Source organism: Homo sapiens, chromosome 2 (assembly GCF_000001405.40).
Source record: "Homo sapiens chromosome 2, GRCh38.p14 Primary Assembly".
NCBI lineage: Eukaryota > Metazoa > Chordata > Mammalia > Primates > Hominidae > Homo > Homo sapiens.
The window spans coordinates 27,399,137-27,424,970 of NC_000002.12; the positions used below are offsets into that span (position 1 = coordinate 27,399,137).

At 45.2% G+C, this 25,834-nt stretch overlaps 1 protein-coding gene across 1 annotated transcript in view, besides 4 other annotated features; it reads right to left on the reverse strand.

The window, feature by feature from the left end:
- The window catches only part of PPM1G (protein phosphatase, Mg2+/Mn2+ dependent 1G), a 28,393-nt gene extending 17,938 nt beyond the window's left edge, over positions 1-10,455 (reverse strand). Inside the window, exon 1 of the mRNA NM_177983.3 lies at positions 10,167-10,455. Within this exon, the coding sequence (NP_817092.1) occupies positions 10,167-10,286 (120 nt within the window). The 5' untranslated portion in view covers positions 10,287-10,455. The remainder of the gene's footprint in view (positions 1-10,166) is intronic.
- Positions 9,936-10,015: a silencer, noted in NCBI's record as "silent region_11298". NCBI's record gives its function as "represses an Ori minimal core promoter by ATAC-STARR-seq in GM12878 lymphoblastoid cells {active_cell/tissue: GM12878}" and the evidence as "EXISTENCE:reporter gene assay evidence [ECO:0000049][PMID:35858748]".
- Positions 10,036-10,085: a silencer, noted in NCBI's record as "silent region_11299". NCBI's record gives its function as "represses an Ori minimal core promoter by ATAC-STARR-seq in GM12878 lymphoblastoid cells {active_cell/tissue: GM12878}" and the evidence as "EXISTENCE:reporter gene assay evidence [ECO:0000049][PMID:35858748]".
- Positions 10,156-10,345: a silencer, noted in NCBI's record as "silent region_11300". NCBI's record gives its function as "represses an Ori minimal core promoter by ATAC-STARR-seq in GM12878 lymphoblastoid cells {active_cell/tissue: GM12878}" and the evidence as "EXISTENCE:reporter gene assay evidence [ECO:0000049][PMID:35858748]".
- Positions 10,436-10,625: a silencer, noted in NCBI's record as "silent region_11301". NCBI's record gives its function as "represses an Ori minimal core promoter by ATAC-STARR-seq in GM12878 lymphoblastoid cells {active_cell/tissue: GM12878}" and the evidence as "EXISTENCE:reporter gene assay evidence [ECO:0000049][PMID:35858748]".

Sequence of the window (25,834 nt, forward strand, 5' to 3'; positions counted from 1 at the left end):
CCCCGACCAAAACAACAACAACAACAACAACAACAAAAACAAAACAAAAAAAGAAAGCAAAAGTCCACAAAAATTGGAGAAAAGATTTGCAAATCATATATCTAACAAACTTGTATCCAAAACACATAAAGAACTCTTACACATCAAAAGACAAAAAGACAATCCAATTAAAAATGGACAAAGACTTTGAACAGACATTTCTCCAAAGAAGATACACAAATGTCCAATAAGCACATAAAAGATGTTCAAACATAAGGCCTGGCATGGTGGCTCTAGCCTGTAATCCAGCACTTTGGGAGGCCCAGGGAGGCGGATCCTTTGAGGTCAGGAGTTCGACACCAGCCTGAACAACATGGTAATGCCCTGTCTCTACTAGAAATACAAAAAATTAGCTGGGTGTGGTGGCATGTGCCTGTAATCCCAGCTGCTAGGGAGGCTGAGGCAGGAGAATCGCTTGAATCTGGACAGAGTGAGATTCTGTCTCAAACAAAAAGTTCAAACATCATTAGCCATTTAGCCATCAGAGAAATACAAATCAAAACTACAATGAGATACCATCTCACACCCACCATTAGTTATTATAAAAAAGGTGGATAAGTGTAGTGAACATGTGAAGGAACTGGCATCCTCATATATTGCTGGCAGGAATGTACGACGGTACAGCAACTTTGGAAAACAGTTTAGCAGTTTCTCAAAATGTTAAACACGTAGTTACCATATGACCCAGCACTTCCACTCTTTGGTATATAACCAAGAGATATGAGGACATATTTCCACACAAAAATTTGTACATAGTATCACTATTTATAATAGCAAAAAAAAAAAAAAAAAGTGGAAATCCAAAATGTCTATCAACTAATGAATGGATAAACAAAATGTGACAAATCCATACCATGGAATATTATTCAACCATAAAAAAGAACGAAACACTGATTGATTCATGACACAACATTGATGACCCTTAAAAATATTACGCTTGGCCGGGCGTGGTGGTTCATGCCTGTAATCCCAGCACTTTGGGAGGCCGAGGCAGGCGGATTGCCTGAGCTCAGGAGTTCGAGACCGCCCTGGGCAACACAGCGAAATCTCGTCTCTACTAAAATACACACAAAAAATTTAGCCGGGTGTGATGGTGGGTACCTGTAGTCCCAGCTACTCGGGAGGCTGAGGCAGGAGAATCGCTTTAACCCAGAAGGTGGAGGTTGCAGTGAGCTGAGATCGCATCACTGCACTCCAGCCTGGGCGACAGAGGGAGACCCTGTCCCCAAAAATAAAAAATTAAAATTAAAAAATTATGCTTAGGCACAACTATGATACATCAACTGAAAAATATCAGGCTGGGTGTGGTGACTCATGCCTGTAATTCCAGCACTTTGGGAGGCTGAGGTGAAAAGATTCCTTGAGGCCAGGGGTTCAAGGCCAGCCTGGACAACACAGTAAGACCCTGTCTCCATGAAAATAAATGAATAAACAACAATAATTAAAACTGACCTCCTGGAGATAAGAAAAAGAGTTAACTAGGAGATAAGAGAAAATTCAAGAATTGTTAAGTCATTAATTTGAGATGGAGTTCTGGGTCTTTTGCTTCCCTTCCATCAACTAAGTGAGGAAGGTTCCAACAGAAACAAATGGGAGTGCCTAAAAGAAAACTAGCATCTCTTTCCTGGTTACACAGGCAACAGACTTGGTGATCTGCCTGAGCTCTGTCTATCTGAACAGAAGGAGAGAATTTTAAAAAGTGCCCACTGGAGCCTGAACCATCCTGCTGGTATCCATCCAAAGGAGTCCAGCAGTATGAGGTCAAGGATACACAGCAGGTGGTAAAAGCCACAGAAAAGTCTAAAAACCAAAAGTGGAGATCAAGTCCCTCTGGGCCAGGCCTGGCTATTGCTGCAAACACAGAGATGGTGAGTGATAACTGGATATGAGACTGGAGTTTTAAAGAGATTTCTGATTCTATTAAGCTCTGTAAAATAAAACCTGCAAGGCACTGATCTAGAAAGAAGCAAAAGAACCTTGGGTCAGCAAAATACTTATTCTTAAATCTACTACAACAATGTATGTGTGATTTTTTTAAAAAGAAACTTACAGGCAAAGCTGAGGGGTAGAGGGAATACTTGGGGTGGAGAGTAATTTACTCTTCCAGGGGCCAACAAGCTTTAAAGTCAATTTCAAAAATACACATGCTTAGTAAAAGCATCCAGATATAAAAGGTAGTGTATTTAGAATTCCATTTATAAAATGTTCAGAATAGGCAAATTCATAGAGGTCATGTAAATTAGTGGATGCCAGGGGTTAGTGGACGGAAGATAGGGAGTGACTGGTAAAGAGTACAGGGTTTCTTTTTGGGGTTCTAAAACTGATTGTGGTGACAGTTGTACAACTCTGTTTGAATACACTACAAAACAGGCAGGCACGGTGGCTCATGCCTGTAATCCCAGCACTTTGGGAGGCTGAGGCAGGCAGATCACTTGAGGCCAGGAGTTCGAGACCAGCCTGGGCAACATGGTGAAACCCTGTTTCTACTGAAAATATAAAAATTAGCTGGGTGTGGTGGCGTGAGCCTGTAGTTCCAGCTACTCAGGATGCTGAGGCAAGAGAATTCGCTTGAACCTGGGAGGTGGAGGTTGCAGTGAGCTGAGGCTGCGTCACTGCACTCCAGCCTGGGTAACAGAGCAAGACCCTGTCTCGAAAAAAGAAAAAAAGAAGAAAAAAAAGAAAATATACTAAAAGCCACTGAATTATACCCTTAAAATGAATGAATTATACCCTTAAACCCACTGAATTATACTCTTAAAGTGAGTTCATATACTGTATGGTATATGAACCATATGTGGTATGAACCATACAGTATATGAACTCTATCTCAATAAAGCTGATTAAAAAGGAACCTGTAAGAAATAAATAAAATAAAAAGGAACCTGTATACACATTTTCAAATACTAAATATGATTAAAAGGTGTTGTTTTTCTGCTAGCATTGGGTCAAAAAGGAAAAAAAAGTTGATATACTTCATCTCTGAACTAGATCTAGAAAGAAACAAAAACAACTACACTGAAATCATACTCTGTCTACAAAATGTCATTAAACATCTTAAGCTCAGTTCTAAAGATTTGTTTCCAGATAATACAATGTCAAGAACTACTGATCAGACCTGTATAAATTTCTATGTTCAAATTCAAGCCCTTACCTCTCAAAATTCAATTCTAAGACTAATAACCCAATAGAAGATTAGAGGTTAGGGAAACAGTAGTAACAACTGCTAAGGAATCAGACAATAGAACTTTGTGTAAAATATCCTTGAAATCTTGAGGAATACGTTCTGATTGTATTTTCCAGTTGCTTGAGAACTTATAAGGCAATGGTATAAAATATAAAATAATTTCTAGACCAGGCATGGTGGCTCACACCTGTAATCCCAGCACTTTGGGAGGCCGATGTGGGTGGATCACGAGGTCAGGAATCGAGACCATCCTGGCTAACATGGTGAAACCCCGCCTCTACTAAAAACACACACAAAAAATTAGCCAGGCGTGGTGGCGGGCGCCTGTAGTCCAGCTACGCGGGAGGCTGAGGCAGGAGAATGGCATGAACCCGGGAGGCGGAGCTTGCAGTAGCTGAGACCGCGCAACTGCACTCCAGCCTGGGTGACAGTGTAAGACTCCATCTCAATAAATAAATAAATAAATAAATAAATAAATAAATAAATAAATAAATAAAATAAACATAAATAAAATTCCTCAGCCTGGGCAACACTGCAAGGCCCTATCTCTACAAAAAAAAACTTAAAAAAAAAAAATTAGCCAGTCATGGTGGCATGTGCCTATATTAGGCTGAGGCTGGAAGACCCCTTGAGCCCAGAAGGCTATGCAGTGAACTATGATCGAGCCACTGTAAAGGCAGATAAGTGTAGTGAGGATGTGAAGGAACCGGCACAAGAAATCCCATACTCCTTACCACTCAAGCATGGGCAAGAGTGAGATCCTGTCTCAAAATAAATACATAAATAATTTAAAAAATAAAAAGGCCGGGCACAGTGGCTCATGCCTGTAATTCCAGCACTTTGGGAGGCTGAGGCGGGCAGATCACTTGAGGCCAGAAGTTCAAGACCAGACTCGCCAGCATGGGAAAACCCCTTCTCTACTAAAAATACAAAAAAGTTAGCTGGGCATGGTGGCGAGTGCCTGTAATCCCAGCTACTTGGGAGGCTGGGGTAGGCAAATTGCTAGAACCCAGGAGGCAGAAGCTGCAGTGAGCCGAGATGGCACCATTGCACTCCAGCCTGGGCAACAAGAGCAAAACTCCAACTTAAAAAAATAAAAAGAAAATAGTTTCTCCATGCTCATGGGCATACATGTGATATAATTCTATACTAGCTTTGAACTGTGAATGGGTACTGCATGCTAATCAAATGCAAATAATGCGTTTTTATAAAAGTTGCTAACCACATTCTAGACAAAGAAATTCTGGCCAGGCGCAGTAGCTCACGTCTGTAATCCCAGCACTTTGGGAGGCGGAGGCGGGCAGATCACCTGAGGTCAGGAGTTCAAGACCTGCCTGACCAACACAGAGAAACCCCATCTCTACTAAAAATACAAAAAATAAGCCAAGTGTCGTGGCACATGCCTGTAATCCCAGCTACTCAGGAGGCTGAGGCCGGAGAATCACTTAAACAGAAAGGCCAGTGAGCCGAGATCACACCACTGCACTCTAGACTGGGTGACAGAGACTCTGTCTAAAAAAAAAAAAGAGAGAGAGAGAGAAATTCTGACCTGGTTTAGTAAGTAAAAAGCGCTTTAAGCTATTGGCTATTGATATGAGATGCTAATCTGAAGATAAGAAAATAAATGTTTTTCAACCTTCAATGCCCTAAGGTAGAACCCCATAGCATACTTGTGATATTTCTTTTTATATTTTTTCCATTAATTTAATGACTGAAACAAATATGCAGGTATTTTAAGAATTTTCTGCTCAATACTATCTTTATAGTCAATTCTAGATGACCCCTTGACCACTAATAAGCCAGCTTCTACACAGCAATAAATAGCCAGCCTCCTCAAAATTATACTATAGATATTGACACTGCCTTTAATAAAAGGAAAATATGATTTATAGCACAAAAAATTCCTGGCCGGGCACGGTAGCTCACATCTGTAATCCCAGCACTTTGGGAGGCCGAGGCAGGTGGATCACAACGTCAGGAGTCTTGAGACCAGCCTGGCCAACATAGTGAAATCCTGTCTCCACTAAAAATACAAAAAAAAATTAGCTGGCCTGGTGGCAGACTCCTGTAATCCCAGCTATTTGGAAGGCTGAGGCAGGAGAATCACTTGAACCCAAGAGGCGGAAGTTTCAGTGAGCCGAGATCAAGCCACTACACTCCAGCCCGGGTGACAATGCGAGACTCCGTTTCAAAAAAAAAAAAAATTCCTAACTCTCCATAGAAAGCAGTTTTGTCACTTCCAGAGAACCTCACAACCAAATATTAAATGTACTCTTGTCCCCTTAAGACTACATCAACTGATGGGCCAGGCATGGTGGCTCACGCCTGTAATGCCAGCACTTTGGGAGGCCGAGGCGGGCGGATTAAGAGGTCAGGAGTTGGAGACCAACCCGGCCAACATAGTGAAACCCTGTCTCTATTGAAAATACAAAAAATTAGCCGGGCATGGTGGCAGGCGCCTGTAATCCCAGCTACTCGGGAAGCTGAGGCAGGAGAATCGCTTGAACTCAGGAGGCAGAGGTTGCAGTGAGCCAAGATCATGCCATTATACTCCAGCCTGGGCAACAGTGCAAGACTCCGTCTCGGAGAAAAAAAAAAAAAAAAAAGACTACATCAACTGAATCTATTTTCAGATTTGACTTCTTATTTAGCCAACAAAAACTCAAGGGCCTTACCTTATAATTTTTCAGGCACCCCTCCACAACCTACCTCATTTTTTTTTTTTTTTTTTTAAGATGGAGTCTCACCCTGTCGCCCAGGCTGGAGTGCAGTGGTGCGATCTCGGCTCACTGCAACCTCCGCCTCCCAGGTTCAAGCGATTCTCCTGCCTCAGCCTCCGGAGTAGCTGGGACTACAGGCGTGCGCCACCATGCCCAGCTAATTCTTGTATTTTAGAAGAGACAGGGTTTCACCATATTGGCCAGAATGATCTCGGTCTCTTGATCTCGTGATCCGCCCACCTCGGCCTCCCAAAGTGCTGGGATTACAGGCATGAGCCACCGTGCCCAGTGCCTACCTCTTAATCCCAAAGTACATACCTCATCCACTTTTTTCATGGAGAAAGGAGGAAGGAGGAGAACATCAACTGTGGTGGTTTTTTTGTTTGTTTTTTTGAGACGGAGTCTGTCACCCTGGCTAGAGTGCAGCGGTGAGATCTCGGCTCACTGGCCTTCCTATTCAAGCAATTCTCTGGCCTCTGGCTAATTTTTGTATTTTCAGTAGAGACGGGGTTTCACCATGTTGACTAGGCTGGTCTCGAACTGACCTCAGGTGATCTGCCCCCCTCGGCCTCCCAAACTGCTGGGATTACAGGCGTTAAGCCACCACGACTGGCCTGTGGTATTTTGATTACCTTTTCTCAAAACACCCTGGTTGCTGGGCATGGTGGCTCACAGCATTTTGGGAGGCAGAGGCGGGCCGATCACCTGAGGTCAGAAGTTCGAGACCAGCCTGACCAACATGGAGAGACCCCCATCTCTACTAAAAATACAAAATTAGCCAGGCGTGGTGGCACATGCCTGTAATCCCAGCTACTCAGGAGGCTGAGGCAGGAGAATCGCTTGAACCCGGGAGGCGGAGGTTGCAGTGAGCCGAGATCATGCCATTGTACTCCAGCCTGGGCAACAAGATAGAAACTCCGTCTCAAAAACAAAACAAAACAAAACAAACAACAACAACACCCTGGTCACACAGGAAGAGAAGCTTGAAACAGGCAGAAAGTAAAAATGCCAGCTATTGATGATTGCCATTTTTGTCTCAAGAGTCCTCTCTACGGCTAAATCTATCCATCAGTCAGCATGTCAACAACCTTTAGTGGTATGATAACCTTACCTCAAATGAAGCATTAGGACCAAGCAAATAGGGTAAATAAACTTTATTAATTTTTGGATTAAGCCCTAAAGCTTCAGAGGAATGGGAGTACTTTATATTTTCTGGAAAGATAAGATTCAGGGAAGAGGCTAGAACTCATAGTTATTTTCTTGCAATAGCAAAGAAACTATGCTACACTTTGAAGAGAAAAAAAGCCAGAAGGAACACTATCAATGAAGCAGAATAGGATCCCAAACAATACTCTTCAAGAGGATTTGATTAGGCATATTTAACTATTGATTAGGCATATTTATTCAAACAAGGGCAACTTCAGAAACAGCACATTAGCAAGATTTTAATACCCTAAGCAGTTATCTCTCAGGAGGAAGATTAGGATGTAAGGAATAGTCTAGTAAGATCTCTACACACTAAACCGTCCCTGACAAAAAAAATCATTTTCTAATTGAGGAGAAACCAAAAATAAAGGGAAATGCCCTACAGAGAAGCAGCAAATAGTATGGAATCACTGGGCAAACCAACGTGAAACACTGAGTAGCCAAGCAACTCAATCCGTAAGTAAAAGTAGAAAGAAGGGTACCAAAGAAATGAAAAAACAACAGCAGAGAAGTGAAAAATATTAAATGAGAAACCTGGAAGAAACGTTTTACTGCGAGATGGAATATTCACCTCAAATCTCACAACGTTAACAGAAAATGCCATGGAAATGGAACTTCTTGACTACCTACTTTACAAAAAGACTTTCCTACGAAACTATACCCAGATTTATTTATTTATTCTTTTTTTTTTTTTTTTTGAGACAGTGTCTCACTCTGTCGCCCAGGCTGGAGTACAGTGGCACGATCTTGGCTCACTGCAACCTCCGCCTCTGGGATTCAAGCGATTCTCCTGCCTCAGCCTTCCAAGTAGCTATGATTATAGGCACGCACCACCACATTCAGCTAATTTTTTGTATTTTAATAAAGACGGGGTTTCTTCATGTTGTCCAGGCTGGTCTCGAACTCCTAAGCTCAGGCAATCCGCCCGCCGCAGCCTCCCAAAGTGTTAGGATTACAGGCATGAGCCACCATGCCTGGCCTATTCATTTATTTTTTGAGACAGCGTCTCGCTCTGTCACCCAGATTGGAGTGCAGAGGGGCGATCTTGGCTCAATGAAGGCTCTGCCTCTCAGGCTCAAAGTGATTTTCTATCTCAGCCTCCCAAGTAACTGGGACTACAGGTGGGTGCCACCATGCCCAGCTAATTTTTTTGTATTTTTTGTAGAGACAGGGTTTTTGCCATGTTGCCCAGGCTGGTCTCGAACTCCTGAGCTCAGGTGATCTGCCTGCCTCGGCCTCCCAAAATGCTGGGATTACAGACGTGAGCCACTGCGCCCAGCCTAGATATTTCTAATAGACAATTACATCTACCAAATAGTTATACTGTGTATGGTGGTGAAATATGAATGCTATGCTTCAGTTTGACATAGATGATTAACAATGTCTAGTGTCTTCAACGATCTGATCCTACAAATTCTTTCCACCAAAACAGTGTCCTAACCTTTCTGGGCCTCAATTTCTTAGCTATAAAATGTGGGAGCCGCAGGGTGTGGTGGTTCATGCCTGTAATCCTAGCACTTTGGGAGACCGAGGCAGGCAGATCACCTAAGTCAGGAGTTCAACACCAGCCTGACCCACATGAAGAAACCCTGTCTCTACTAAAAATACAAAATAAGCCAGGCGTGGTGGCACATGCCTGTAATCCCAACTACTAGGGAGGCTGAGGCAGGAGAATTGCTCGAACCTGGGAGGCGGAGGTTGCGGTGAGCCGAGATCGCGCCATTGCATTCCAGCCTGGGCAACAAGAGCGAAATTCTGTCTCAAAAAAAAAAAAAGGGAGCCAAAGCAGATGAGATGAACTATAGGATACACTCCAATCCTGAAATTTTATACCTAATTATAAAATTGTTATTAAGGTCAGTTATGAATATAAAATTTGAATCGGAAAACAAAACATTTAAGTTCATACTGTCATTCCAGAGCTAACCACAGGGAGGAGCGAGGGATCTGAAACAATTCCCAAGGGAGACAGTATTTCGCTGTTACCTGAAGCCCACCCGGTAGGTGGAGAAACCCTCAATACCAGACAGAGTATTTCCCTGGCCCTTTTGCCTAGACTTCAGAATGCTCTTCACAAAGCCACGGTTAACCCGTCTTCCTCCCTTTCCTCCCTACCGCAGTTTTCCCTCTTCTCTTTTGTAGTTTCACATCAAGTTTTACCTAATACTACTACTTTCCCCCCAATATTTTTCTTTTCCCCTTTTGTCCAGAGTAAAATTTTCTAGAAAAGCCCTTTGTAGGTAGGTTGTGATGAAAAAAATTGATGAAATGACTTACAATCAAAGAAACTATAAACTACAATTACAGGCAAATGAGAATTACTGATTAAGTTTTAGAGAAATCCTAAGAGAGAAAGAAAACGAAGCATAATAAAAAGGAAAACCTAGGGACTGACATAATTCAAGTTTTCCGAAGTTAGTAAAAGGCCCTGAAAAGAGTGCAAATGAGTGACAACTCCTGGAGGTCGGGTCCAGCCTCTGAAATTAACATGCAAGAGCCCAAGGCCAGGCAACCAAAATGTGAAACAGACTCTGCCCGGGGTTCCTTTCACTGTCAAACTCCTAGCCAAAAGAGGCTTCCCACATCAGATATTTTAAATATTAAAATTTAAAAAGTTATTCACATCTATTCACCTCTCCCTTGAAAAACAAATGAATAAATAGCCCCTATTTGCGTCTTTACTCCCACACTAAACCTCACACCGTTGATGAGCCTGGAGGGCTAGGTTGGCACGAGAGGATGGCGCCAAAGCTCGGGGAGAGGGCGGTCAGTGGGCGGAAGGTGCCTCTTCCCACATGGCCGAGCCCTCGCCGCCACTGGCCACCGGCACACGGTCCCCAAGCATCGGGAGCTCCCTCTCGGCCCTGACCCCGCGGTCTCTGTCGCCCCGCAAACGGCCGCTGCGGCCGCAGGCTCCCAATTGGGACCCTTCCCAGGGGAGGACCCCATCCCCCGCTCTCTTTCTCCGTCAGATTCCCGCCCCGCAGCGGCCAGCCTATGGGCCCCTGCCTCCTCACCTCCATGGAGACGCGCCAGCCTTGCATGGCGGAGAAGCCGTAGGGCAGCGGCAGGCGCGGGGCGCCGACCCCGTCCCCGGAGCACTTCACCGTGTTGGGCTGGGAGAGGTAGGCACCCATGGCGGCGGCTGGCCGGCGGCCTCAGGTGCAGGAAAGCTGGGCGCGACCCGTGCCGGAGCCGAAGCCCCGGGGGTGCGCGCGGCAGGAGCAGGCCCCGCGGCGCGACCGACGCAAGGTGCCGGTGAAAGGCGCGAGGCCGGCCAGGAGGCGGTAACGGGACGGGAGCTGTGAGGGAGCGGAAGCGGAAACGGCGCCGCTCCAGACCCCGCCCGGCCTGCGCGGCGGGGCCAGGCGCTGCGGGCAGTCATTTCCTTAGCAACTCGCCCCGCCCGCAGGGACAACGGCCCGCCCAACGGCCGCTCCCGCGAGACTAGCGCGACCACGCCCACCAACGGCCGCCGTCCTACTCCGCTTCCTCGCGCAGGTGGCAGGTCGCCTCTGGCAGAACCTCTTCCTTCGTTCCCAGTCCCCAGCCTCTTGGCGTTTTGTCTGACGCCTCTTTTGTGTCGGACTCGACGCTTTCAGCCCGTCCTCCAGTGTTTTCATCCCCCTCTCCCCAACGTTGCACTCTCAGACTCCGCAAACCCCGCCCGATTTGGTTCAATTAAAGTTGACCAGTATTTGTTCCGAGCTTAGGAAGTACTTGGCCAGGCCATGCGAGGCCTATATGAGAAGAATGTGAGTCTTTTCTGAAAGCGAAGACCTCGATCTGTGATATAATTCGAGTTAATACAATGTAGAAATGTTTGGTACAGCCTATTCTGGGTGGGAAAAGCTCAAGGATGGGAGGAGGAGCTGTTTCTTGGAGGATTGAAAGGATGTAGGCTCTCAGAGAGGATGCCTCTGGATTGCATTATGCCACAGGAAAAGGGAATAATGTTATAAGGTTTGGAGGAGTGAGGGAAGAATGTGAACTGCATTTGGGGAGGATTTCTGAGGAAGCTGGCTGGACTCGGAGAATGATTGTAAGTGGTAATATTAACTAGCTAGCTTGATAAAAAGAAGCGCCAAGATGAGTGACTTGGACTTCATTGTCGTCCTGGTGTAACCTTTGGCATCGTTTGTCTAGTCTTTGTATGCAGTGTACATTGGAGGGAGAGAGTCTGGGGCACTGTTGTGTTGTTGTTTTTTGTTTGTTTTTGAGACAGAGTCTCGCTCTGTCGCCCAGGCTACAAGCTCCGCCTCCCGGGTTCACGCCATTCTCCTGCCTCAGCCTCCCGAGTAGCTGGGACTACAGGCGCCCGCCACCACGCCTGGCTAATTTTTTGTATTTTTAGTAGAGACGAGGTTTCACCGTGTTAGCCAGGATGGTCTCCATCTCCTGACCTCGTGATCCGCCCGCCTCGGCCTCCCAAAGTGTTGGGATTACAGGCGTGAGCCACCGCACCCCGCCTACTATTGTTTTTTTTTTAAGACAGAGTTTCGCTCTTGTTGCCCAGGCTGCAGTGCAGTGGCGCTATCTTGGCTCACTGCAACCTCCGCCTCCCAGGTTCAAGCGATTCTCCTGCCTCAGCCTCCCGAGTAGCTAGGATTCCACGCCTGGCTAATTTTTGTATTTTTAGTAGAGACGGGGTTTCACCATGTTGGCCAGGCTGGTCTCGAACTCCTGACCTCGTGATCTACCCGCCTCAGCCTCCCAAAGTGCTGGGATTACAGGCGTGAGCCACCGCGCCTGGCCTGGGGCACTGCTACTAGTTAGAGAGCTCTTACTCTAAGCAGGAGATGAGAAGAGCTGGGAGTAAGGTGGTACCACGCAGGGTGGCAATGGGAATCCAGATGAAAGGACAAATTAGACAATAACAAATAAGACAGATTTGGTAATAAATTGCATTCAAGGGATGGAGAGAAAAGGAGAAATTCTCCAAACTATGACAAAATTGATTCTTTTCAGCCGGGCACAGTGGCTCACACTTGTAATCCCAGCACTTTGGGAGGCCAAGGGGGGGTGGTGGATCACTTGAGGCCAGAAGTTCGAGACCAGCCTGGCCAACATGTGAAACCCGTCTCTACTAAAAATACAAAAATTAGCCAGGCGTAGTGGTGCGCTCCTGTAATCCCAGCTACTTGGGAGGCTAAGGCAGGCGAATAGCTTGAACCCCAGAGGCGGAGGTTGCAGTGAACCAAGATGGCGCCACTGCACTCCACCCTGGGTGACAGAGCAACTCCGTCTCAAAAAAAAAAAAAAGATTCTTTAAAAAGATAAAACTAATCATGGCTTCTTCATGCTCTTCCGATAGTCCAAATTCCTTATAGTTTACAAGACCCTTCATGCTAATCATCCAGATTCACGTATGCCTCTCTTTAACTCTCCATTTCTCCTACAACTCTGCTTCAGCAATGTCTTTGGGTGCATCTAAAGCCATGCTTTCTCTTACACTTTTACCCATGGAGCACACCTCTCCACACCCCTCTTGACCATCACTTTCTCCAGGAAATCTCTACTATCACTATACTAGTTTGGGTCCACACTTGTTTGTCTTTCCTGATAGAATATAAGCCTTTATGAAGGCAGAAGTTCCATTAAACTTACCATTGTGTTTTCCAGCATCCCTTGCAAAGTTGTATGTGCTGAATAATATTTAAATATTTGTTGAATGAATGAATAACACCAAGATTTTGACTCTGCATAACAAAATGTGGTGGAGCCATTAACAGAAAAAGGTGCAGTTTGAGGGGATGCTAGTTTTGGGGGGAAAACAGTGGTTCAGTTTAGGGTGACAACTAATATAAAAACATTGAAAATATTAGATTGGAGTTAAGCCATGAAAGTGGAAAAGATGTTAATTAGGCTTGCAGGTTGCCAGGAACCTAGATGAGATCTCTGACCAAAGCAGTGTAGAGGGAGCATATAAAATTACTCAGCCTTGGTTGCAGTGAGCTGAGATGGTGTCACTGCACTCCAGCCTGGGCGACAGAGTGAGACCCTGTCTCAAAAAACAAACAAATGAACAAAACAGCAACAACAAAAATTACTCAGCCTCTTCTTTCTTCTCCTTCTGCTCCTCCTCTTCCTCCTTCTTCTAAGAAATGAGGTCTTGCTATGTTGCTGAGGCTGGTCTTGAACTTCTGGGCTCAAGCAATCCTTCCACTTTAGCCTCCCAAATAGCCAGGACCACAGACATGTGCCACTATGCCCGCCTTCTTTTTTTTCTTTCTTTTTTTTTTTCTTTTTGGACTTTGTTTTTTCCTAAGAATGGAATGTGACATTGTTTAAAGAGCATGAATTTTGCCACATATTACCTATGAGATCTTTCACAAGTTACTTATTCCCTCTTAGGCTAAGTTCATCTGCAAGACAGACATACAGCATCTACTCTTCAAGACTGCTTTAAGGATAAGAGGAATTGAATGTAAAGTGCTGAGTTATCCATAAATGTTGTATATTATTCAACAAAAGACTGCTGTTTAAGTGTCCATACATACACGCTAAATATGGAATGGAAGCCACATTTAATTGTGTTCACAAAAAATAGGAGGTGGCCTGAAAATAAATGGGAAAAAAACAGACAAGAAAAAAAGTGGAAAAGAAAATATAACTCGAGGCTGGGCACAGTGGCTCACGCCCGTAATCCCAGCACTTTGGGAGGCTGAGGCAGGCGGATCACTTAAGGTCAATAGTCCGAGACCAGCCTGGCCAACATGGTGAAACCCTCTCTCTACTAAAAATACTATATAAACACACACACGCACACACACAATATGACTCAAGGAAAAAGTAACGCACTGGGAGAGCAATAATGTTACAGAGAGGGGAGATAGATACTAAGGGGGATCATGGAAAGAGGTGAAAAAGGAGAAAGAGTATGAAGATTATCCCCTCACCATCCTATTCCCCTCAAAGTCACTACAGTATATTTCCAGTGACGTAAAGGTTTCATGCTTTGACTAGAAGGGAGAAAGAAAAAAAATTTTAAAAAAAGGCCGGGCGCAGTGGCTCACGCCTGTAATCCCAGCACTTTGGGAGGCCGAGGCGGGTGGATCACGAGGTCAGGAGATCGAGACCATCCTGGCTAACATGGTGAAGCCCTGTCTCTACTAAAAAATACAAAAAATTAGCCGGGCGTGATGGTGGGCGCCTGTAGTCCCAGCTATTCGGGAGGCTGAGGCAGGAGAATGGCATGAACCCAGGAGGCGGAGCTTGCAGTGAGCCGAGATCGCGCCACTGTACTCCAGCCTGGGTGACAGAGCAAGACTCTGTCTAAAAAAAAAAAAAAAAAAAAAAAAAACACCCAAAACGCAATACTATATTCATAGATCGATTGATAATGCTGAGTCTGTCTTTAAAGTATGAGCTGCAAAAATCTGGCTAATCAGACATGGTAATAGAGCCAGCTCCTGAACATGTACTTGAGGTGTTAGTCCACATGAAAAAAGGGTTTTTATGGCAGGCATGGTGGCTCACACATGTAATCCCAGCACTTTGAGAGACTGAGGTGGGTGGATCACCTGAGGTCAAGAGTTCAAGACCAGCTTGACCAGTATGGTGAAACCCCGTCTGGCCGGGCACGGTGGTTCACGCCTGTAATCCCGGCACTTTGGGAGGCTGAGGCGGGCAGATCACGAGGTCAGGAGTTCGAGATCAGCCTGACCAACGTGGTGAAACCCCGTCTCTACTAAAAATACAAAAATCAGCTGGGCGTGGTGACACACACCTGTAATCCCAGCTACTTGGGAGGTTGGGGCAGGAGAATCGCTTCAACCCAGGAGGCAGTGGTTGCAGTGAGCTGAGATCGTGCCATGGCACTCCAGCCTGGGCAACAGAGCGAGACTTTGTCTCAGAAAAAAAAAAGAAACCCTGTCTCTACTAGAACTACAAAATTAGCAGGGTATGGTGGCAACATGCCTGTAATTCCAGCTACTTGGGAGGCTGAGGCAGGAGAATCACTTGAATCTGGGAGGCAGAAGTTGCAGTGAGCCGAGATTGCGCCACTGCACTCCAGTCTGGGTGACAGTGCAAAACTCCGTCTCAAAAAAAAAAAAAAAAAAGAAATTATGAACCCTGAGGCATGTAATTATAGATCTCTGGGAATGTTGCCAGCCTGGGAGACATTGCCTTAAAGGTTAAATGTGGATGGGCGTGGTGGCTCACACTTGTAACCCCAGCACTTTGGAAGGCTGAGGCGGCCGGATCATCTGAGGTCAGGAGTTCGACACCAGCCTGGCCAATATGGTGAAACTCTGCCTCTACTAAAAATACAAAAATTAGGTGGGCGTGGAGGCAGGCGCCTGTAATCCCAGCTACTTGGGAGGCTGAGGCAGGAGAATCGCTTGAACCTGGGAGGCGGAGGTTGCAGTGAGCTGAGATCCCGCCATTACACTCCAGCCTGGGCCACAGAGCAAGACTCCATCTCAAAAAAATATATATATATATATTAAATGCTCTAACTTTAGAGTATAATGTGACATCAGTTCAATTGTAAATTTGAATGTGAACTGAAGATCACTCAAAAAAGTGTTAATCTAGATCATCCAAAATATGCCAATATGCTTGTATTTATATTAAATATTATAAATTTATGTTGTCTTCCTATGTTACCCAGGTTGGCCTCAAACTCCTGGGCTCAGACAATCCTCCCACCTCAGCCTCCTGAGTAGGTGCATGCTGCTGTGCCTGGATCTCATTGTTTTTGACCCTTTCTTCATATACATGTGATTCATATACATCAATATTATACTATTCATGAAATGATACCTTTAAAAACTAAGCAGTTTTGATACCATATTCCTTCTTGGTTGTGATTAAAGGTGAAAGATTGATCCAGAGAGGAAAAAAATAATCTCAGGGACAAGATTTAGGGCTAAGAAAGAAGGAATTCAAATATTTTGAAGGTACTAAAAACGAAGAGGGAGAGTCTATTTCTGGGATTCTGGGCTAGTTCTTACTCCCCTTTATACTCATTAATTTATATATATATTTTCTGTAGATGATAATATCTTGACTTTTTTTTTTTTTTTTTTGAGACAAAGTCTCACTCTGTCACCCAGGCTGGAGTGCAGTGGCGCGATCTCGGCTCACTGCGACCTCCACCTCCCAGGTTCAAGTGATTCTCCTACCTCAGCCTCCCAAGTAGCTGTGACTACAGGTGTGTGCCACCACACCCATCTTTTTTTTTTGTAATTTTAGTGGAGGCAGGTTTTCATTGTGTTAGCCAGGATGGTCTGGATCTTCTGATCCTCGTGATCCGCCCACCTCGGCCTCCCAAAGTGTTGGGATTACAGGCGTGAGCCACGGTGCCGGGCCATATTTTGACATCTTTTCTTTTCTTTTTGAGTTGGAGTCTCGCTCTGTCGCTGAGGCTGGAGTGCAGTGGCACGATCTTGGCTCACTGCAACCTCCTCCTCTGGGTTCAACCAATTCTCCCTGCCTCAGCCTCCTGAGAAGCTGGAATTACAGGCGCCCGCCAACACGCCCGGCTAATTTTTGTATTTTTTAGTAGAGACTTGGTTTCACCATGTTGGCCAGGCTGGTCTTGAACTCCTGACCTCAGGTGATCCGCCTGCTTCGGCCTCCCAAAGAGCTGGGATTACAGGTGTGAGCCACTGCACCCGGCCCATATTTTGACATCTTATAAAATCCTTTCTGGCTGGGAGAGACTGCCCTTCCAATGCTAACCAATTAGAGATAGCAAAGGACTTTTTTTTTTTTTTGAGATGGAGTCTTGCTCTGTCACACAGGCTGGAATGCAGTGGTGCCATCTTGGCTCGCTGCAACCTCCGCCTCCTGGGTTCAAGCAATTCTCATGCTTCGGCCTCCTGAGTAGCTGAGACTACAGGCACAGGCCACCACACCCGGCTAATTTTTGTATTTTTAGTAGAGACTGGAGTTTCACCATATTGTCCAGGCTGGTCTCAAACTCCTGACCTCAAGTGATCCACCTGCCTAGGCCTCCCAAAGTGCTGGGATTATAGGTGTGAGCCACCACGCCCAGCCAAAACATTCCTTTGATACATAAACTGACCAGTCCAGCGCTATACCTCCCCTATCTGGCCTGTACATCACAAGAAGCAATATTCTTTTGCCTTAATCATCGCAGGCAATTAGGGACCATCCCTAAAGTTTACAGCCTGCAGGAGTTATTCAAACTAGCCAACCCTAAACTCTTTGCCCTGCCTTGCCTTACCCTTAGAAACCCCAACAAAAGTTCTGGCCTAGGCCAGGCGCAGTGGCTCACGCCTGTAATCCCAGCACTTTGGGAGGCCTAGGCGGGCGGATCACGAGGTCAGGAGTTCGAGACCAGCCTGGCCAACATGGCGAAACCCTGTCTCTACTAAAAATACAAAAAATTAGCCGGGCATGGTGGCGCACACTTGTAATCCCAGCTACTCAGGAGGCTGAGGCGGGAGAATTGCTTAAACCTGAGAGGCGGAGGTTGCAGTGAGCCAAGATCGTGCCGCTGCACTCCAGCCTGGGTGACAGAGCGAGACTCTGCCTCAAAAAAAAAAAAAGTTCTGGCCTAGGTTGGGCGCAGTGGCTCATCTTTGTAATCCCAACACTATGGGAGGCCGAAGCACATGGATCACCTGAGGTCAGGAGTTTGAGAACAGCCTGACAAACATGGTGAAACCCTGTCTCTACTAAATACAGAAAAATAAGCCAGGTGTGGGGGCACATGCCTGTAATCCCAATTACTTAGGGGTCTGAGGCAGGAGAATCGCTTGAACCTGGGAGGCGGAGGTTGCAGTGAGCTGAGATTGTGTCATTGCACTCCATCTTGGGCAACAAAAGTGAGACAGAGAAAAAGTTCTGGTCTATACTTTCTCCTTGTTACTGTCTTCTGCTACCTGACCCAAACTTGGCATTTCCCCTGTGACCTTGTGTGGCATATAATGGCCCTCTTTCTAAAACCTGTGAGTGTAATAAATTTTGTTTTATTGTGCCTCTCCCGTGTCTCCTCTTGGCTGCACCTGACTGACCGTCCCCTAAAGGAACGCAGAACAAGTGCCCAATAAATGAAACTATTTTTTTAAGTCAAAAAAGTGTTATGTTTTACAGCTGTACTTTTCTATTTCTAGAAGGCAAGACATAAATTAATCTTGAAGCAATCTGCCTATACTCATGGAAATCACTAGAATGGGCCCTTTAGACACATATAAAAGAAATACCTATCTCTATCCTAAAGAAAGTCACAAAAGGACCATTAACCAAAATTCAGGTCTTTCAGACTGATATGCTGGGGTTTATCTTTTTATTAATAATATAAATTGTGGGTTGGGTATGGTGGCTCACGCCCATAATCTTAACACTTTAGGAGGCTGAGGCGGGCGGATTGCCTGAGCTTAGGAGCTTGAGACCAGCCTGGGCAACATGGCGAAAACCATCTCTACTAAAAATACAAAAAAATTAGCTGGGCATGGTGGCGAGCGCCTGTAATGCCAGCTACTCCGGAGGCCAAGGCAGGAGAATCTCTTGAAACTGGGAGGCAGAGGTTGCAGTTAGCCGAGATCGTGCCACTACACTCCAGCCTGTGTGACAGAGCGAGACTGTCGCAAAAAATAAAATAAAATCAATTGTGACTGGGCTTGGTGGCTTATGCTTGTAATCCCAGCACTGTGGGAGGCTGAGGTAGGAGGATTGCTTGAGCCTGGGAGGTTGAGGCTGCAGTGAGGTGTGGTTGCACCAGTGCACTCCAACCTGGGTGACAGAGCAAGACCCTGTCTCAAAATAATAATAATAATAATTGTGTCTTTAGCAGGATTGTGTCCTTCCAGTGGGGGGTGGGGGGGCAGGGAGAGATCATATTTTCTTTTCAGTAAGGATATAGAGTGAACTGTCTCTTAAAATCCTTATTTGTTCGGCCGGGTGCGGTGGCTCACGCCTGTAATCCCAGCACTTTGGGAGGCTGAGGCAGGCAGATCATGAGGTCAGGAGATCGATACCACCCTGGCTAACACAGAGAAACTCCGTCTCTACTAAAAATACAAAAATTAGCCAGGCGTGGCGGCGTGTGCCTGTAGTCCCAGCTGCTGGGGAGGCTGAGGCAGGAGAATGGCGTGAACCCGGGAGGCGGAGCTTGCAGTGAGCCGAGATTGCGCCACTGCCCTCCAGCCTGGGAGACAGAGCCAGATTCCATTTCAAAAAAAAAAAAAAAAATCCTTATTTGTTCTTAGGAGATCCATGTACGGGTTTTTTTTTTTTTTAATTTATTTATTTTTTGAGATGGAGTCTCGCTCTGTTGCCCAGGCTGGAGTGCAATGGCGCAATCTTGGCTCACTGCAACCGCTGCCTCCCAGATTCAAGTGATTCTCCTGTCTCAGCCTCCCAAGTAGCTGGGACTATAGGCGCATGCCACCACGCCCAGATAATTTTTGTATTTTTACTAGAGACGGGGTTTTACCATGTTGCCCAGGCTGGTCTCGAACTCCTGAGCTCAGGCATTCGCCTGCCTGGGCCTCCCAAAGTGTTAGGATTACAGGAGTGAGCCACTGTGCCTGGCCTCCCCATCTTTTAACTATATCTATATATCCCGAGTTTTTGTGCTGCATTCTGTGTGAATTAACTTATTCTTTTGTTAGTCATACCAAACTTAGAGTTCTTTTTATTATTTTGTTTCTCTTAATACCAAACAAATCAGGCAAGGAATTTCTTTACTTGTTTTTGGCGAGATCTTTGTCACTCTCTCTCCAAACCTGCTCCAACAATTAACAAGTATCAGTGATCTGATTATCTCTCTAGTTTTCTCATTTATTTCCTGAAGAATGTTCTCCTTTTCATCCCTGAGAGGTCTGAGAAAAAAAAAGAAAAAAAGAAGAATTTCTCTCTGGAAAGTCTCCTCTCTTCCCTCCAAGACGTAATACATTTTATTTGTTTGTTTGTTTGTTTGTTTATTTGAGACAGAGTCTCACTCTGTCGCCCAGGCTGGAGGGCAGTGGCACGATCTTGGCTCACTGCAACCTCCGCCTCCCGGGTTCAAGTGATTCTACTGCCTCAGCCTCCTGAGTAGCTGAGATTACAGGCGCGTGCCATCACGCCTGGCTAATATTTGTATTTTTAGTAGAGATGGGGTTTCTCCATGTTGGCCAGGCTGGTCTCGAACTTCTGACCTCAAGTGATTCGCCCGCCTCGGCCTCCCAAAGCGCTGGGATTACAGGCGTGAGCCACCGCGCCTAGACAATAAATTTTATTTTTTAAAAAAGATTAAATTTCAAACTGCAAAACTGGAGGTAAGGCAAAAGAAAGGAAACCCACACCCAGGTTCGAAATTTTCAACTATTATTGCTAAAAAGTGAGACATCTTCACAAAACTTGGAGTGGAAAACCATAGGTTTTATGGTCCAAGTTCCTGACTTCCAATACTGGAGAGTCTTCACTGGACTTTTCTTCACTTCCTTAACTGCTTGTTGAATTCCTATTTATCATTTAGAACGCAGCTCAGACAGATCAACTTTGTTCTTTGGGAAACCGTATGTATTAGTTTCCTATGACTGTTGTAACGCATTACCATAAACTTGGTGATATAAAGTGCCACACGTTTATTATTTTACAATTCCAGAGGACAGATATCTGAAATTAGTTTCGCTGGTATAAAGTTAAGGTGTTGGCAGCACTAGTGCCTTCTGGGGGATCTAGGGGAGAATCTGTTTCCTTGCCTTTTCTTTTTTTGAGACGGAGTCTCACTCTGTTGCCCAGACTGAGTGCAGTGGCGTGCGATCTCGGCTCACTGTAACCTCTGCCTCCCAGGTTCAAGCGATTCTCCTGCCTCAGCTGCCCAAGTAGCTGGGATTACAGGTGCCCACCCAGCTAAGTTTCGTATTTTTAGTAGAGACGGGGTTTCACCATATTGGTCAGACTGGTTTTGAACTCCTGACCTCAGGTGATCCACCCACCTCGGCCTCCCAAAGTGCTAGGACTACAGGCATGAGCCACCGCATCCGGCTCCTTGCCTTTTCTAGCTTCTAGAGGCTGCCTGTATTCGTTGCCATCACTCCACCCTGCTTCTGTGGTCATATTTCCTTTTCTGTATTCATACCCTCCCTCTGCCTTCCTCTTACATGGATACTTGTGATCACATTTAGAGCCAACCCTGATAATCCAGGGTAATCTCCTGGATTATCAAAAATTTTAATTTAAGTCCCAGTGCAGTGGCTCATGCCTGTAATTTTGTAAAAATACAAAAATTAGCCGGGCATGCTGGCGGGTGCCCGTAATCCCAGCTACTCGGGAGGCTGAGGCAGAAGAATTGCTTGAACCTGGGAGGAGGAGGTTGCAGTGAGCCAAGATCATGCCACTGCACTCCAGCCTGGGTGACAGAACAAGACTCCATCTCAACAACAACAACAAAACAACAACAACACGGCCAGGCGAGGTGGCTAACACCTGTAATCCCAGCACTTTGGGAGGCCGACAGGGGTGGATCCCTTGAGGCCAGAAGTTCGAGGCCAGCCTGGCCAACATGGCGAAACCCAGTCTCTACTGAAAATACAAAAATTAGCCGGGCATTGTGGCACGCACCTGTAGTCGAAGCTACTCAGGAGGCTGAGGCACAAGAATAGCTTGAACTGGGAGGCAGAGGTTGCAGTGAGCCGAGATTGGGCCACTGCACTTCAGCCTGGGCAACAGGGCGAGACTGTCTCAAAAACAAACAAAAAAAAGGGCAAAATAAATAATACATGAATTTGATTTGAACATAATTGAACACAATTGTGGAAATCAAATAATCTCAGCTGAATTAAGATTTAATTGGGCTATGTTTGTCTTTTTATTTCTCAGTGGCCCTATTTATGTATTTGTTTATCTTAGAAGTTGACTCAGTTCCTTATGATAGGACTTACAGGTATACAGCCAAATAATGTTCCCATTTAATAACTTTTAAAATGAAGCTCAGAGGCCTAAGGTATGAGGCAATGCCCCAAGGCATCATTCCAAGACAAGGATAAGGTGTGAGCTAGGGTTATGGTTACTATCCTTCAGCCTAATGACAGGCTATCTGTATCAGAATCACCTGGAAAAATTCTTAGCCATGCAGAAACTCAAGTCTCCCTGACCCCAAGAATCATATTCAGCTGATCCAGGGAGGGTCCTGGAGATGTGTGTTTTAAAACACCTCAGCTAATTCACAATTATCAAGAAATCTAGGCTTCTCTTATTTAGTTTGAAATCATACAGAAATGTAAATGCAATTTTTATTTGGCCTTCAGTTTGAAAAAAGGCTCTTTTGGAAGAAAGGATCCACACCACATCCCTAGAGAAATGATTAGATTGAAGGCATGGCTTGCAAGCCTCACATTGAGAAAAAAAAAAACAAAACTTAGAGCAGAAACCCAATAGGTTTTCCAATTGCCCTGATCTGTGGGAACTAAGACCTTCAAAGATTCTAGACAGTTTTATTGGAGTATGGGTGCGGCAACTCAAACCTGTAATCCTAGCACTTTTGGGAGGCTGAGGTGGAAGGATTGCCTGAGCCCAGGAGTTTGAGGCTGGAATGAGCTATGATCACACCACTGCACTTCAGCCTGGGCAACAGAGCAAGACCCTGTCTCTAAAGAAAAAAACAAACAAACCTCACTCATTGTGAATTTAATGACTTTCAGTAAATTTACAGAGTTCTGCAACTGGCATGTCACAATGCAAGTTATAGTCCACATGGGAAATTAGGTTAGCAGGTCACCAGGGAAGCTCAGACTTAGAACAAATAGAAATGAGTAGTCTCAAAAATAGACAAGTGAGATTGCATCAAACAACAACAACAATGGAAACTATCGACAGAGCGAAGAGACAGACTATGGAATGGGAGAATATATTTGCAAACTATGCATCTGATAAGGGCTAATGTTAATATCCAAAATATATAAGAAACTCAAACAACTCAATAGCAAGAAAAACAGGCTGGGCACGGTGGCTCATGCCTGTAATCCCAGCACTTTGAGAGACCAAGGTGGGTGGATCACCTGAGGTCAGGAGTTCCAGACCAGCCTGGCCAACATGGTGAAACTCTGTCTGTACTAAAAATACAAAAAATATGGCTGGGCGCAGTGGCTCAGGCCTGTAATCACAGCACTTTGGGAGGCTGAGGTGGGAGGATCACCTGAGGTTGGGAGTTTGAGACCAGCCTGACCAACATGGAGAAACCCTGTCTCTACTAAAAATACAAAAATTAGCCTGGTGTGACCGGGCGCAGTGGCTCACGCCTGTAATCCCAGCACTTTGGGAGGCCAAGGTGGGCGGGTCACCTGAGGTCAGGAGTTTCAGATCAGCCTGACCAACAAGGTGAAAACCTGTCTCTACAAAAAATACAAAATTACCCAGGCGTGGTGGCAGGTGCCTGTAATCCCAGCCACTTGGGAGGCTGAGGCAGCAGAACTGCTTGAACCCGGTAGGCGGAGGTTGCAGTGCAGTGAGCCAAGACTGCACCATTGCACTCTGGCCTGGGCAACAGGGGTGAAACTCTGTCTCAAAAAAAAAAAAAAAAAAAAAAAAAAAAAGGCCGGGGGGCAAAGTACCTGAATAGACATTTCTCAAAAGAAGATATACAAATGGCTAACGGGTATATGAAAAAAGTACTCTAATAATCAGGGAAATGCAAATCAAAATCACAGTAAGATATCACCTCACACCTGTTAGAATGGCTGTTATAAAAAAAGACAAAATATAACAAGTATTGGTGAGGATGTGGGGAAAAGAGAAAAGAGAACCCTTCTCGTACACTATTGGTGGGAATGTAAATTGGTACTACCATTAGGGACAACAGTATGGAGAATCCTCAAAAATAAATAAATAAAAAATTTAAAAGGCTAAGAACATCTTAAATTTGAATAGATATTGCCAAGTTGCTTTTCAAAAATATACCACCCAGAGTATGTTAGGGTTCCTCTTCCCCTGCATCCTTACCAACACTGAGTAATACCAATATTTGTTTATTTATTTATTTATTTATTTATTTATTTATTTTGAGACAGACTCTTGCTCTGTCACCCAGGCTGGAGGGCAATGGTGCGATCTCAGCTCACTGCAACCTCCGCCTCCCAGGTTCACTGGGTTTAAGTGATTCTCCTGCCTCAGCCTCCCGAGTAGCTGGTACTACAGGCGTGTGCCACCACACCCAGGTAATTTTTGTATTTTTAGTAGAGACAGGGTTTCACTGTGTTAGCCAGGATGGTCTCAATCTCCTGACCTCGTGATCTGCCTGCCTCGGCCTCCCAAAGTGCTGGGATTACAGTCATGAGTCACCATGCCTGGCCCAAGTAACATCAATCTTTTTAATTTTGATGATACATTAATTAAAAAAAGATATCCTGTTTTAATTTGCACTTATTTAATTATAGGTGAAGCTAAACATCTTTTCCTATGTTTATTGCCCAGTTGTATTTCCTCTTCAATTTCTTGCCTATTCAAGTTTTTTTGTTTATTTCTTTACTGAGTTGATCATTTTTTTTCTTTCTGGCTTGTAAGGGCTCTTTGTACATCAGAAAAATTCTATTGTCTTCCCAATCTCCTACAATGTTAATTTCATCCTCTCGCTACTGGAATTTTACTCTCAATTTATTATAAGTTTCTACTGCAAAGCTCTTTTTTATTCTTAATTCTCCATGATCACTTCAGCATTCGGGATTACTGAACAGCTCTTTCTTAAAATTTTCTACTCACTTCCTTTTCATAATACTGATTTATTTCATTTCTCTCTGTTTCTTAAATTAAGAAAAATTATCTTAATTTTTCTCCTCTATCTTTACTTTCTATTCCTCTTCCTATTAACGTACCCAAAGTTATATCCATTGTTCTCTCTATACCAGAGTTTCTTGCTCTGTTACAGAGGCTGGAGTGTAGTGGCACAATCACGGCTCACCACAACCTTGACCTCCTAGGCTAAAGCGATCCTCCTGCCTCAACCTACTAAGTAGCTGGAACTATAGGGGCATGCCACCATGCCTGGCTAATTACAAAAAAAAATTCTTTTTTTTTTTTTTTTGAGACGGTCTCACTCTGTCACCCAGGCTGGAGTGCAGTGGCGCAATCTCAGCTCACCGCAACCTCCACCTCCAGGGTTGACGCCATTCTCCTGCCTCAGCCTCCTGAGTAGCTGGGACTACAGGTGCCCGCCACCACGCCCAGCTAATTTTTTTGGTTTTAGTAGAGACAGGTTTTCACTGTATTAGCCAGGATGGTCTCGATCTCCTGATCTCGTGATCTTTCCGCCTCGGCCTCCCAAAGTGCTGGGATTACAGGTGTGAGCCACCGCACCCGGCCAAAAAAATTCTTTTATAGAGACAGGGTCGCACTATGTTGCCCGGGCTGGTCTCAAACTCCTGGGTTCAAGTGATCATTCCACCTTGGCCTCCCAAAGTACTGGGATTACAGGCATGAACCACCGTGGCCAGGTGCCTTTTTTTAAAAATTTTTTTGAGACAGTCTCGCTCTGTCACCCAGGCTGGAGTGCAGTGGCCCAATCTCGGCTCACTGCAAGCTCCACCTCCTGGGTTCACGCCATTCTCCTGCCTCAGCCTCCCGAGTAGCTGGGATTACAGGCGTGTGCCACCATGCCCCATCTCTACTAAAAATACAGCCAGGGATGGTGGCACATGCTTGTAATCCCAGCTACTCAGGAGGCTGAGGTAGTAGAGTCGCCTGAACCTGGGAGGCAGAGGTTGCAATGAGCCAAGATTGTGCCACTGAA